Here is a 15,634-nt window from a genome sequence, read left to right on the forward strand (position 1 = left end):
ATATTTAACTTCTCCAAGTCTAATTTTTCTTATCTAGGTTATATGGCATCAAATTTCTACCTTTGAAGATCTTTGTAAGAATTAAAAGGATGATTCACGTTAAACACCCAGCTGATATCTGACACACCATAGAAACTTAACACGATATATGCTCTGACCAACTCTTATTTTGGGGCAGGAAAAATGTCCCAAGAACTCCTCCCCTGATTTAGAGAAATAATGAAAGTGAATCCGAGGCAAATATTGCCCCTCATTTTTCTAAGAGTCTAATTCTGATAAGTGATATTTTTAGGACTCTGACAGTATCTGAGATATTATGAAAAATGCAACCAAACCTTCTCCAATAGCTCTTTGTCACCCAGATCTTACAGTGGGCAATCAAGAAGGCTTCAACTTTCTCCTGCAGAGTACCATGAGCTTTGGAACTGGAGCCCACATCCTCCCAGCTCCTCTGTTCTAGTCTCTTTCTATCCAAATCCCAAATGCAGCTTCTAAAAAGAAAGATCAACTGTTTCCCCACAATCTATACACAGGATGGCACAGAGTGAAAGTAGGCAATTTGCCTCAACTTCTTTTCATTCATTCAGTAATATCTGTCAGGTCTGAGACTTGACTGATATATACTTTTAAATAAACTTAAATATATCAGGAAGCTAAGAGACTTTATAGTTCTTATATTTCCCAGGATCTAGGTTTAAAATCAAAAGGATTGAATTTGGGCTCACGCCTGCAATCCCAGCACCTTAGGAGGCCAAGGCTGGAGGATCGCTTGGGCCCAGGCATTCAAGAGCAGCCTGGGCAACATAGCAATACCCCATCTCTATAAAAAAAAATTTTAAATGATCCAGGTGCAGTGGCATGCACCTGTAGTCCTAGCTACTCAGAAGGCTGAGGCAGGAGGATTGCTCGAGCCCAGGAGGTCAAGGCTGAATAGCTAGGACTACAGGTGTGCAGCTCAAACCGACCATATTACTCTGGGCAAGCTATTCAGTTCTTCTGAATTATAGTTTCCCTAGCTGTGGAAACTAATAATACTTCCTACCTTATAGGATTATTTTAGCATTAAATGATATTGTATGTGAAAACATTTTGAAAACTGTAAAGTTCTATACAAATGTTATATTAGAAAATGTTAGTCTTTTTTGGCCAGGAGCAGTGGCTCACACCTGTAATCCCAGCACTTTGGGAGGCTGAGGTGGGAGGATCCCTTGAGGTCAGGAATTCGAGACCAGCCTGGCCAACATGGTGAAACCCCGTCTCTACTGAAAATACAAAAATTAGCTGGGCATGGTGGCAGGCATCTGTAATCCCAGTTACTTGGGAAGCTGAGGCACAAGAATCATTTGAACCTAGGAGGCAGACATTGCAGTGAGCTGAGATCAGCCACTGTACTCCAGCCTGGGAGACAGAGCGAGACTCCTTCTCAAAAAAAAAAAAAAGAAAAGAAAAAGAAAAAGAAAACATTAGTCTTTATTATTATTGTCCCTTTTGTCAGCTACAGCCTATGTGATCTAATAAAATCTTAAGAAGTCTGTGTTTATACACAGCTTCCCCAGCTGGCCATACCCCACCTGGCCACTCATCTATCTCATACCATACCTTAGTCTATACCCACTGATCTCAAGACCACAAAGTTTTTGTTGTTGTTGTTGTTGTTGTTCTTGCTGCTTGAGAAGGAGTCTCACTCTGTCACCCAGGCTGGAGTGCAGTGGTGCAATGTCGGCTCACTGCAACCTTTACCTCCCAGGTTCAAGAGATTCTCCTGCCTCAGCCTCCCGAGTAGCTGGGATTACAGGTGCACACCACTATGCCAGCTATTTTTTTTTTTTTCATTTTCAATAGAGATGGGGTTTCACCATGTTGGCCAGACTGGTTTCAAACTCCTGACCTCAAGTGATCCACCTGCCTCAGCTTCCCAAAGTGCTGGGATTACAGGCGTGAGCCACTGCACCCAGCCTATACCCACTGATCTCAAGTTCAGTTTTTTTGTCAGCCCTCCCATTCCCTGTTCATTTTCAAACAAACGGATCATCACAGCTTCTGACACTCTCAAAGTTTGAAATTTTAAAGCTTGACACTTATTTCTAAAAGGTGAAATGTGATTTGGTTTACGGAATGACAAGAGAAACCCGTGAAACTTTCTTAAGCACCTTCTTCACATGCCTAAATACATAGCGTCTTGAGAAATGGGCCCTTCTCTTATGTAAAGACCAATAACTTCTCAGAGTCTTTAATATCTTCAGAGTCTTAGCCAAAAACAAACCAAAAATAAAAAACAATTGGCTTCACATATGTGGCATTTCATGGTGCGTTGAAGGGATCTCCAAGTCCAGTCCCAGGTTTGATGATTCACTAGGATAACTCAACAGGACAACATACAGTCATATTCACAGCTATGACTTATTACAGTGAAAAGATACAAAGCAAACTCAACAATGGAAAAAGGTGCGTGGGGTGAAGTCTGCATAAAACTGGGTGGGAGCTCCCACGGGTCTTCTCCAAGAGGAGTCACACTGGACACACAAGTTGTGACAATGCATCTGAAATGTTACCAACCAGACTGTTCATTAGAGATTCAGTGCCCAGAGTTTTTAATGGGGACAAGTCATGTAGGCACCCCTTCCCTGGCATGTACCCAAATTCCAGACTCCCAGAAGAAAAGCAGGTGCTCGGCATAAACCATATTGCTTGCACAAACAGTTTAGGCACAGTGAGCTACTCAATCATTTAGATTTGTGGGAATCCTCCTGAAATCCAAGTTCCCTAATGCCAGCCAAAGGCCAACTTGCAAGCAGGCCTTTCTATGGACAGGCAGTTTCACACCCACTATGTTAATTCTTTTCTGCACACATGAGAATAAAAAGCCAAATATCTAATTAATTGATAACTGCCCATTGACCACTAAATTCTTAAAGCCCATCAATGTACTAAAAACCTTAAAAAGACAGGGAACATAACTTAGCACTTCAAAATATATTCATTTAACACACTTGTACTATCTCAGCCTTCTGGGCTTTGGGCATTAAGGAAATAGTAAGTCCCTTTAGTCCCAGCGCTCTAAGAACTTTTGGAACAAAAGGGAAGATAAGATGAGGACATAAAGAATGATAACACACAGTGGTATGTGATGATGGCCATAAAAGAGGTATAAGCCGAACACTAAACCAGTTAGAGGAGGGAAAGAAAACTTCCTGCCATGATGAACCAGGAAGATTTCAGGAAGAATTAGCATAGAGCTGCAGTTTTAAGAACAGCTAGGATTTCAGAGTTAGAAACAGGGTTAGGAAGAGCTCAACAAAAGGGACTAAAAGTCCATAAAAAGCATCCAATCTCCTTAATAACATGTACTACACTCTTCATGATCAGCCCACTACCTACTTCACTGGCCTCAGCTCCTGCCAGCCTTACCTTGAACATGAAACCATGCTTGCCATGCTATTTCCCAGCCTTTTGACCTTCTGATTCTTATTCACCCAGATCGCCTCTCAAATGCCACCTCTTCCAGGAAGCCCTACCTTGGCACTTGATCTCCCTTCCCTCTTACCACCCCACCTCCTTCCTCTGTGCTCACATCTGACTATGAACATCACACTGAGTGGTAATTACAGATATCTATTTTCCCCACTGGACTCTGAGCCTAAAACAATTTGGCACACAAACATAGAAAACACTCAGTGAGTATCTATCAAATAAATTAACTCTTGCCTCTAAATCTGATATTCTTCCCACTACAGCATGCTGACCCTTTTATCAACAAATGTTCACTGTTTAATAATAGTTTAAAGAGAATAGCAAGAGATTTTCTGTAAAGATCAATCATACCATACTTAAGTATTAAACTAAGCTCACACCCTTGGTCACTGCATCTACAGGTAGTGATGCACACAAACACACCCTCAAGGACCTAACCATTCCCACACACAGTTCATCAGTTTTGGTGCTTTGGTCTCAAAGTAAAGAGACCAAACCAGAATCTATCAAAGGACTAGACTGAGACTTGACTAACACAGTGAAAGGGCTTGGGGATTGGCACATGAAAGAGTCCAGGTTCAAAGGTCTAGTATTCCAAAACCCCAATGTAGGATGTCTCCAAGAGTTTCCTGGGTTTCTGCCGCCCAGGCTGGAGTTCAGCAGCACAATCATGGCTCACTGCACCCTTGATATCCCAGGCTCAAGTGATCCTCCCACTTCAGCCTCCTGAGTAGCTGGGACTACAGGTGTGCACCAACATGCCCTGCTAATTTTTTTCTATTTTTCTGTAGAGATGGGGTCTTGCTATGTTGCTCAGGCTGGTCTCAAACTCCTGGGTTCAAGCAATCCTCCCACCTCAGCCTCCCAAACTGCTGAGATTACAGGAATGAGCCACTATGCCTGGCCCCCAGGAATTTAAAAGGTACAACTTACTCCCTATGCACTGAATGTCAGCCCAAGACTTGCTTTTAGTTCCTGGCTGCTGAGAGAGTGGACTTGGAAAAAGTATGCCAGAGAAGGAAAAAAACAAACACATCCACTCCCTCCTCACTTCCTCACACACCAAGCAAATACCTGTGCTCAGTTCCACAACAGGGTCACATCTGTCCCCTGCAGAATCTGACCGGTAGAGCCACGTCTCCTCCACACCCTTGGCTCCTGGCCACACATTATTAATAGTTCAAGTGCAGATGCAGGTGACTGTCTTCACATTGAGGCACCTCTAGTAACCAAGGCTAATCTCCCCAGTGGCTTTCCCCAAGGAACCCAGGTAATGTCGGGTTTTCCCTCCAGCATAGATAAAGCAGGCAACTATCCGGAAAACATAAACACAGGGCTAGAAACACAGAAACACACATCTGTGTGTACCTGGGTCTGATCCTGACTGCTTAGGGAGAAGGGCCACCTAGCTTCTTGCCATTTCCCATAGATGATAGTTTTGTAGTCTGAGCCTCTCTGCTCCTCCCTCTAAGAAACTCAACAGCTGCTAACCACAATAGTGCATGCTAAGCACAAGAAATTCTACAAAGCACTAACCAAATTCAGCATGCATTAGGTATCTACTATCCCTAGAACCTTAAACTCAATTTTGGAAATACAAAAAGGGGCCTTAAACTTTTTTTTTCTGGATTCAAGCTTCAATCATTTTGCCAGAAACACACCTGGTCCTTTGTTGAAAAGTGGTAAACATGCTTAACTCAAGGTAAGACATATTTATATTTTTGGAACAATTTGGCTCCAATGTGATCCAGTCCATAAATTAGCATATGGAGTCACCATTTTCCAACACATTATGTACTCTCCTATAGAAGTCTTGAATAGCAGCACCATCTCTACAAGTACCATTACCTTTTACCAAAAAAGCTTTAATATATGTTATCTCCTCTGTACACACAAGTGCAAACAAGTATGCCAATCAACCCCAAACCCATCTTTCATACTGTGAGCAGTGTTATTATCCTAAAGAGAAATTTCATTATCTCACTTACAATATTGAGAAACTTCAAAGATAAAGGGCAGCCTCCAAGATAAAGGGTCAGATTGTAGCCTCATTTCACCTTTGGTCTTTGGTGAAACTCCACTACATTAGCAGCGCCACCAACCATAATTTACCTGTCCTGTGTGCCAACTCAGTAGTCTCTTCCCCGTTCTTTTTTTTTTTTTTTTCAGATGGAGTCTTACACTGTCGCTGGAGTGCAATGGCGCGATCTCGGCTCACTGCAAACTCCACCTCCCAGGTTCAAGCGATACTCCTGCCTCAGCCTCCAGAGTAGCTGGGATTACAGGCACCCACCACCATGCCCGGCTAAGTTTTTGTATTTTTAGTAGAGATGGGGTTTTACTATGTTAGCCAGGCTGGTCTTGAACTCATGACCTTGTGATCCACACGCCTCAGGCTCCCAAAGTGCTGGGAATACAGGCATGGGCCACCGTGCCTGGCCTCCCCATTCTCCTGGTATCCCTTCTCTCCCTGCCTCCATGGCTTTGAACTTGAAACATCCTTCAACGTTTCCTCCCCACCACACTCTCTTTTCTTCTTTTTCTTTTCTTTTTTTTTTTTTTTTTGTGAGCCGGAGCCTTGCTCTGTCACCCAGGCTGGAGTGCAGTGGCATGATCTCAGCTCACTGCAACCTCTGCCTCCCAGGTTCAAGCAATTCTCCTGCCTCAGCCTCCCAAGTAGCTGGAATTACAGGTGCCCACCACCAGGCCCAGCCTCCCAAAGTGCTAGGATTACAGGCATGAGCCAATGCACCCAGCCCTCAGTCTCTTCTTAACCTAGCAAACTCCTACTCAGCCATAGGTCTAGCTTATCTGTCACCTTCCTACTTTCCCTGGCAGTTGCTCTCTCAGCAATCTCACAATAAGCTGTATGCATTTCTAACTAGAACACTTACCACACTGTACTGTAAGTACTACTTCACCATTGTCACCTTCAATAGCCAAGAGGAAGGGAAGGAAAGAGAAGGAAAGAGAGGAAAGAAAGAGAAGGGAAGAGAGAAAGGAAAGGAAGAAAAGGAAAATGAATAGAACTGACATTTATTGAATAGTGACTCTATGCAAGACACAAAGTCAGAGGCTTTAATATATTTATTACCCCATCTTGTGAGAAAATGAATGCAATTTTTGCAGAAAAGGAAGTTGAGAGTCCTATCCCAAAGAAACTCAAAAGCTGCTAACCACAGTTAAATTAGTTGCTTTATAACACAACTAGTAAGTGCATTCATGTTTAAATTCAAGCTTATCTTATTCCAAAGCCAAGTTTATTTCCACTACAAAGTGGCCTCTATGGGAAACATGGACACTAGCCAGAAACATCTTCTTAACCATGACCCCTCTCCCATCACCTTGTTGGCCACTATGCTTCATAACTCTGGCTTCTGACCTTCCACCTATGATTGCACCTCAAAATCATCTGCTATAACCATCAGATGGCAAGGTGTTGCTAGGAATCTGGCAAGAACACAGTGAATACATTTGCAGAAAGGTAGTATGATACTATTTCAAAAAGGTTCAAGAATGCATATTATAAAACTGTAAAAATGTGTCATATCTAAGTGGTCCTGCTAGGACAACTCATATAAAAATTCTTTATCTTTATAAAATCCTCATATCATGCACAACATGAAAATCAACTTCATTTCTACTCAAGTTCTTCAGTATATTCCCTCTCACTTATCAAGTTGTGATGCCCCAAAATAAACTGTAATTAAGGTCTTCTTGCCAGTTCTCCATAGTATTTCAGTTGCTCTAGTCCTGGGTGGTGCTGCTTCATAACTGCAGGAATAAGTGGCTGACTCCTTAGGCCATGGAGCGCTGGGAGAACCCAGTTGTTTTTCCTGGAAGATTATGTTAAGCCCATCATTACATCTCTATGGTAACAGAAATATCCTAGGTTTTCTGGAACAGTCCTAGTTTTGAATATTTATAATCTGTTTCAAGACTAGTGACAAACATATGTCTTAACACAGGATTCAGTAAGCATGAATATAACATCTTTCCTTTAGAGAACTCCCCCCAAAGAGGCAATACTGGGTTGTGAAAAGAGTACAGGTTTTCCAGTCAAAGTAACCTGGGATCAATTGTTTGTTTGGCCATTTACCACCTCTGTGACCTTGGGCAAAGGACTTGTCTGTGCTTCCATTTCCTCATCAGTAAAGTGGATAATTATCACCTACTTTAGAGAGTAGTCCTGCCAATTAGAGGAACAAGGACATAGCAAAGGGACTGACACAGAGTATGCACTAGATAGATAACAGACATTCTGTTTATTATGTTGTTGTTATTTGTAGCATCCCTAAAAGGAATGGAAAAGAAAGATACTATTTTTGCTTTTCTAAGTAAAGGACTATAAATTATGTGATTTACCTGTATTCAACTTCCTAAACACAACACTTCAGTTACTACATTCCAGGTAGTGTTGATTCTTAAATAGTATACTAAGTTGCTGACTCATCACTTTGTAGTCTGGTGTCACCCCCTAATATTTCCTGAAATACTTAAACTTTATTAATTATTACTATCTCTGTGTAACAAAATTTTCTAAATTTTTGCAACAAGCCCATTTTCAAGGGTTATCCTGTGTAGTCAAAACACTATCGCAAGCTATGTACCCTCATTCTGCATCTAGAACTCAGTTTGCAGCTTCGTACGTAATTTCATGAACAGTAGAGCAGAATACAAGTAGGGTACAGATAGCGTACAATTATATCAGATTATCTTCCAAAGATCCAAGGCATGGGCTCTGGAGTCAAACTGCCTGGATTCAAATCTCTGTTGTTGTTCTTATTGGCTGTGTCACCTTGGGCAACTTATTTAAATTATATGGGCCTCAATTTCCTCATCATAAAATAGAAACAATCATAGTACCAAAAATAGTATCAATAATAGATTATTGTGAGGATTAAATAAATTGATGTAGGTATAGTGCTTGGAATACTGCCTGGTACATAGTAAGTGCTCAATAAATGTCAGACATCTTCATCATTCACTTGCTTCAGACTGTTTTTCAGTCTGAAGCAATTAGACGTGATATAGTATGTTACATTAGCAACCAAAAATACCAGATCAGGTAAAATACCTTTAAAATAACTGAATAAAATGAATCCTACATAACCAGTTACTACCTCTAGGTGCCATAACAGCAGTAGATCTATCATATTTGCATTTGAATGCCGGTGGCTCCAACTATTCATAACTTACCTTGAAGACGTCATGTAGAAATTGTAGCTAAATCAACAGTAGCACCAGAAAGGAATGAAGTCGTGAGTCCTTGGCTGGTAAGTCTTTGGTCAACCACCCAGCACAGCATCTCAATCTGCTTTTGCTGGTTTTCATTAAATACAGGACCTCATTTAATCCTCTAAACAATCTTGTCAAACAAATCTGATCATTCTCATTTTATAGACACATGGAGGGAATTACATGCTATGACAATAGTTGCAGTCTTGGGGATAGCAAAGGTCTCAGGATGAAAACCCTGAACGTGTCCCAAAATGGCATAACTGAAACAACCCTAGACTATAACTAAAAGAAAAAGGGCCGAGTGTGGTGGCTCATGCCTGTAACCCCAGTGTTTTGGGTGGCCAAGGTGGGAAGACTGCTTGAGCCCAGGAGTTCAAGACCAGCCTGAGCAACACAGTGAGATCCCATCTCTACAAAAAAAAAAAAACAAAAAAACTGAAAACCTAAACCTTTTACTTATAAAACTCAAATGCTAGTCTAAAACCAACAGTGGTAAAGAATCTGCCCTAAGAAATCTAACACAATACAGCTCAGCCTTCCTCCCAACACAGATCACTGGCAAAGGGAATGGGAATTGTCAGGCAATAGATTTGACTGAGGAACTTAGCTTGCCTGGGATCCAGCTAATGCCCTCAGCCTCAAAGCCCTGTGTTTTAATCAAGTGACTCAGCCAGAGGCAGGAGAGTCCAGGCTCCTGTGGCCGGGAGGGATGGCAGCACAAAACACATCTGTCTAATCAGAAGCTAGTGGTGCTGGCATCCATTCTGTCAAGACTTACAGTAAAACAATGCTTCTGCAAGGGAAAAAAAGAAACTTATATTCACTCAGAAATCAACTGATACCTTTCTTTCCCCCTCTAACTCAGAAGGCAAATACGTGGAATTGTTTGCTACGTCTTATATCTACCTACCCCCAAATATTTACTGATGCATTTATAGAAAGAGGACAACTTATCTCGGAATAATAAACCAAATCTATACTAGTAGCTACAAACTGTTTAGAAAGTATAAGATTAGGAAATGCTCTTATTTTGGCCTTCTTTTATCTCAATCATCAATACAAGGGATAACACATAGGAAAGTGGTTTTGTAGGTTGCAGGTAGTTCACATAGGTGAAGAAGTCACTGCAGTAATCTGAGGACACTGCACCACATTTCAGCAGAGTGATTCATTCATTCTTTTATTTGTTCATTTATTAATTAATTTAAATTACTTATACTAAGTTCCCATTGAGTGCCAGGAACAGTGCCAGGCTATGTGGATACAGAAATAAACCACAAAGTCTGAGCCCTCAGGGGCTCAATCTTTTCCTAAATTGTTCTTTTCATCTCCATCCTATTCCAATCATAGCTGCACATGTCTTTGCTCCCTTTTTCCTTCTCTTTCTCCCCCTCTCCAGTTCTGAGCCACTTAAGAGTGAGGTCATGTGCTTCTCCCACATTCTGCAAAAGTCCTAGCACAGGTCCAAGTGCCCAAATGGGCACTAGGCAAAAATACTGTATGTAGTGACTTTAGAGGCAAATACTTAGTGAAACACATGGCTTTATTACCATTTTTTAAACCTGCTTTCATTATACTGTATTTCTGTCAACCTACCTTCCCCAAAATTCCCTTAAAGCAGTTTTCCTAACAATCTCAAGAGGTTATAGATTAATAATAAAAAATAAATAAGCAGAAACCACTCTCCTCTCAATGATCTGTGGATCATGTGTTCTGCATGAAGGCAGTCAATAGAGGAGGCCCTTAGAAAATCAGGAGGAGGCGTCAAAAGCTTGAAGCAACAGAAAGTAGAAACATTTTCTCATATCTCATTCATCTGGATGTGGAAATTCTCTACCAGACTTCAACTTGGGAAACCATGAATAGAAAACAACCCAGAATCAGACTTTTAAGACAAGAAGGACCCTCATCTGGTCCAATTCTCTAACTTTATAAGGAAACCAAGGCTCAGGGAGAAAGTGTGACTAAACCCAGATTGCACAGATTGTCTTTGCCAGATGCAGAAGTTGAAACCAAGCCACCTGCCTCCCAGTGCAGGGCCCATTGTTTCCTCAGAGCATCCAGGAGCACGGCGTATGCCTGAGAGCAGTCCTTGAGGCAATGGCTACTGGCACTCACATGCCCCCATGGGTACACTGCCTTTCCAGTGGCTCTCATTGCTTCCTCTTAGCAAGCCTCTGCCTTGCTTAGGGCAAGTCAAGACAGCTCCCAGGAGCTCTGAGACTCCCTGTGTAACTGAACAATTCCCTTGAGTGGCAAGCCTGCTTTCATTCTATAAAATGGGACTATCTTCTGTCCTCTTCTGTTCAGGATTGTGATGAGGATCAATGAGATACTAGCCACCAAGGAAACCTACATTCTTTGAAGAAAACTTGAGTCCCAATAGAGCATTTACATCATGATTAAGTCCTACTAATACCAAGAGTTGGATTCCAGGATTTTATAAAGACTGATAATGTTTTATTGCCTCTATGTTTAAACATTTTTAAAATATTAATAGCATACACACATGCATGCAATCCAAGTAACAAACAATAACACCTGACACTTGATCCTTATAGTGATTCTGGTAAGTGAGGATAGAATTTGTTTATTATCATCAATTTATAAAAGTGGAAACCAGCTCAGAGAAGCCATCTGTCTTGCCCAAGGTCACACAGGTAATAAAATGCAATGCTGGGGCAATGACTTTCTCCAGGACCCTCCTGAATTTTCTGCAAATTACTGTGCAAATTAGTTTTTTAATTTTCTGCTCAAATTTTGCACATCAGCAACACTAAAGAGCTACCTTTTCTGTTATATTTGAGATGTTTAGCAAGAGTACAGCTTGACCCTGCATTTTCAACAGCAGCCCCATGGCCCAGCACTCATCTCTCCCACAAGATAAATACAGGGAAATTATGAGGGGTGAACTTCGGGGCTCACAAACAAGATTAACCTTCATGATGCTTTTAATTATTCATGATTTTTTCTCTACATTCTGTCAAAAACAATCTGAGATGGCTCTTAGCTCTGACAATAATTCAGTCAAAAGGGCTGTATTTGTGTGTGTGTTTTTAAAATTTGTTAATATAGATGCAAAGAAAAAGATTTGGAACGCTATATCCCAAGTTTTGCTTTAATTATTTGAGTATAGATGTATTTATATCATTATTATTATTATTATTATTTGAGATGGAGTCTTGCTCTGTCACCCAGGCTGGAGTACAGTGGCATGATCTCAGCTCACTGCAACCTCCGCCTCCCGGGTTCAAGAGATTCTCCTGCCTTAGCCTCCTGAGCAGCTGGGACTACAGGCGCATGCCACCACGCGCAGCTAAGTTTTGTATTTTTAGTAGAGATGGGGTTTCACTATATTGGCCAGGCTGGTCTCGAACTCCTGACCTTGTGATCCACCTGCCTCGGCCTCCCAAAGTGCTGGGATTCCAGGCATTAGCCACTGCACCCGGCCTGATATTATTATTAATGTTAATCTGGATCTTATATTTTTTTCTACAATGAATATGTTTAGTTTTGGTAATAAGAAAATAAAGGATATTTTTATTTTTAAAACATTCTTCATTCTGAAAAATGGGAAAAAAGTGGATGTCTCCCCAGGGACTAGAGAAGCTCTATTACTGTGAACCAGAGAGTGGAAAATTCAAACAGTAGTCTAAGCCCTCTAGAACCTTGGTCCTACTTCTCCATCTGGGTACTCGAAGCCCCTAAGAATATATAACAATCTGCCAGGACACCAGTTTTATTCAGATATTTTGAAGAAAAAACTTTATATTTTTAAATCAAAGTCCATATATTATGAAATCAAATGAAAAAAATTGCATAAGCACAGGAGCATGTGTTGGTCTTCTTTTCCATTGCAGGATCTTCTATGGAAAAGTTTGGTAAGCCCTAAGACAAACATTATAATCTTATCCCCCCAACTTTTGAGAGAGTGACAACCTCATTAATACCAAGTAAGTTTTCCTCTTAATTTAAAAAAAAAAAAAGCCACATTTTTCTTCATCTACTGTATGTTTAAAAATTCTTTGTAAAACAGGTGACAAGCAAACATATTTCCAGGGAGCTCTGGAAGCCTATACAGGCACAGTTCACCCTACCTCCCTTGCCCAAAGAGGAGAAACACCTAGACTAGCATCTGGGTTTTGAAGATGGTGGAACCTGGGCTTCCCCTAGGCTGCCTCACATTTCTACAAGGCAGCAGACCACTCTGCACAAGGTGCTAATTCATTCATTCCACAAATGTTTATTGAGCAAAACCTGAAAAAGGCCTCTTAGGGGACAGTGGAATCATTCACCAGCCAACGGTTAGGGCTAACGGGTCAGATGTGGACAATCAATCTTTCATTAGACCCCAAACCACCTCTAGGATAAAGCAAACAGGGCCCTGCCCCACCCACGCACTAGCAGCTGGGCAGGATTAGGGTAGGCCTTCTAGAACAGTACTGCTGCTGAGAGGCTAAGGCAGTCACAGATTACCTCCAGAATAACGGAAACTCCTGCACCATAAATGACATAATAGCTCTAAGATGTTTTGCATAGTGCCTGACACCTGGTGAGAACACAATGTTAGACATTTTTGCTCTCCTTATTCCAGCTTGCTCTTACTTAAGGAGCACAAAGACAGTGTAAAGAACACAGGTTTTAGAATCAGAGATTGGATTTGAATTCCAGCTATGCTACTTCCTAGCTAAGTGACTAAAGGAAGCAATCTTTCTGAGCCTGTTTCTCACCTATAAAATAGGGTATAGTACATCACCCCTCATGTGGCTTTGTGAGAATTAAGGATATATTACATACAAAGAAGTGTCTGGCCCATAGTAAGTGCCCACTAAACAGCAGTCAACATTGCCCTGCTGCCGTCCCCACACCTCTTCTCCTTCCTAGCTGCTCTTGATGGGTTCTGCAATCTGATTTCACCTGGATACCACACTAAGGGTGAGAAGGGGCAGAACTTCAGGGGTGGAGGAAAGTGAGGGAAGGGAAATGCTGGAGACCTTCCATAGAAATCCAGCCAAGTCCTCAGCTCCTTTCAATCATCCTACTCTATCTGGCTGCTCCATCCAGCAGACAGCAGGGGTCACCATCCTGGTGGGGAATGGCTGCCAACAAGGGGACGGGAAGCTGGATGGCAGTTTGCATCCACCCCACCTTCCAGGGTCTATCTGTCTGAAGCCCCACCGGGCTTCCTCTGCACATCCCTGCCGGGCTGTGTGGCTCAGGGGGCTGACAGGGTGATTCATAGCCTGTTCTTATCTAGGCTTCTATCTCAACCCTGCGCCCAAAGCCCTGGAGGCTGCTGGTCACAAACCAGCACTAAATGAAAAGAAGAACTTTTCATTAAGGCAGGAAGTGGAGCCCCTCAAGGTCAAAGGGGATTTATAAAGAGAGGAGGAAAGAAAGGGAAGACGCGGCAGGATGGGTGCAGAGAAAGAGAGACCCACTTCCTATATGCTGGTGGAGCCCTGTGTCTTAGACGCTAAAAACAGTCGCTTTTCCACTTCAAAGGATGATAAAGCCCACTCGTGTAGTTTATAGCTCGCCGTGGGACGAGGTGTGGGTATGGAAGAGAATTCCAAAACACGTCTTATTTTCAAAGGAGAAATCATCATCCCCTGGCCGGCCCTTCCCAACACCCCACCTGTAAACAGGTGCTGACGCTCCTACCTTTCTGCACCTGAGCAATCTGGGGGCAGTTACTCTGCAGCCAGGTCTCCCCAGCACCCAGCCCCAAGCCCAGGTCAGTCCCTGAAAGCCCTAGAAAACGCGATAGCTCAGCAGAACCCTCGCCTACCCGGGCATCCCAGCTTCCTGGCCGCCTGGGCAGCGGAGGTGGCTCTGGAGTAGGTGGGAAACTGAGGAAAGGAGCTTTCCCCGTGCCAAAACGCAGTTCCCATTTTAGAACTGGTTAGACTAAGGAACAACATTCTACACCACCTCCCTCACTTAACAGAGGAGGAAGCAGAGACCAAGAGAGGGAAACAAAGTTGCCCGAGGTAACACAGCGAGTGGGCCAAGTAGAGACTGGAACCCGAGTGCGCACCTCCGAGTCGCTGCCGGGCAGGGAGCGCGCCTCGCCGTCTCTCTTGTCTTCTGGCCCCCAGCCCTCGGCCTGGCGGTGCAAACCGCGCAGCCCCGGGCGCGGCGCGTTACCTTCCCCCGGGCAAGGCGTTGCGAGCCTTCACTCTCCCGACGGACGCTGGCGGCACGGCCCGGGTGTCGCCCGGCACTGTCAACGCAGAGCGGCGTGCGCGAGTCCCTCCCCGCTACCCCCGCCCCCGGCGGGCGGTGCGGTGGGGCCGGTCCCGGGTGCTCGGGCCAATGGCGCTTCGCCCGCTCCCCGCCCCGGCCCGCCCCGGCCTCCTCGCCCGGCACACAGCGCCTGCCAGCCCCTGCCCTCTCCCCTTCCCTCCCTTCGCCCTCCGCCCCCGCCTGCTGCTTCTCTCCGGTTCCTAGCCTCCTTCTCAAGTGTACCTTGCCCCGAAACAACCTGTTTTCTGTGCAAATAAAGCAGCACTGTTGTTATTGTTATTATTATTTTTATCACGGCGCGTTAGGGGGCCTTGGAGCCCGAGAGTGTGGAGCACTAGGAGCCTCTGCACTCCGAGAAGGGACAGCCACCGCGCAGGGAAAGGGGCGCGGAGGGTATGGAGCCCGGTCATGGGGTAACTTGCTTTAACCCTCGGGACGTCAATTTCCTCACATGTGAAATAGAAGAAGGGGGGAAAAAAGTTGTTGAGAGGACTAAATGAAGTGATGCTTTAAAATACAATAATACCTAGAGAAAGGTGAGGGCGTCATGCACTGCCTGAGCTACTTACTGGGGTATGCACAGAGGACTGGTAAGCTCCTGGAAGACGCTGTGTGGCAGGGAGGCAGACAATGCAATACAGTAAATACAATATTGTGGTCGGGCGCGGTGGCT

General features: G+C 43.5%; 1 protein-coding gene across 57 annotated transcripts in view, besides 1 other annotated feature; it reads right to left on the reverse strand.

The window, feature by feature from the left end:
- Positions 1-15,634, reverse strand: part of SYTL2 (synaptotagmin like 2) — a 160,642-nt gene that overhangs the window by 101,973 nt on the left and 43,035 nt on the right. For 51 of the 57 annotated variants that reach the window (NM_001394469.1, NM_001394466.1, NM_001365827.2 and 48 more), the window contains exon 1: positions 14,753-14,940. The exons of the other annotated variants lie outside the window; for them this stretch is intronic. The gene's annotated coding sequence lies outside the window, so the exon portion shown is untranslated. Of the gene's footprint in view, positions 1-14,752; positions 14,941-15,634 lie in introns of those variants that run through there. 57 annotated transcript variants of the gene reach the window in all.
- Positions 14,899-15,078: a silencer, noted in NCBI's record as "silent region_3822". NCBI's record gives its function as "represses an Ori minimal core promoter by ATAC-STARR-seq in GM12878 lymphoblastoid cells {active_cell/tissue: GM12878}" and the evidence as "EXISTENCE:reporter gene assay evidence [ECO:0000049][PMID:35858748]".

This window comes from Homo sapiens, chromosome 11 (genome assembly GCF_000001405.40).
Source record: "Homo sapiens chromosome 11, GRCh38.p14 Primary Assembly".
NCBI lineage: Eukaryota > Metazoa > Chordata > Mammalia > Primates > Hominidae > Homo > Homo sapiens.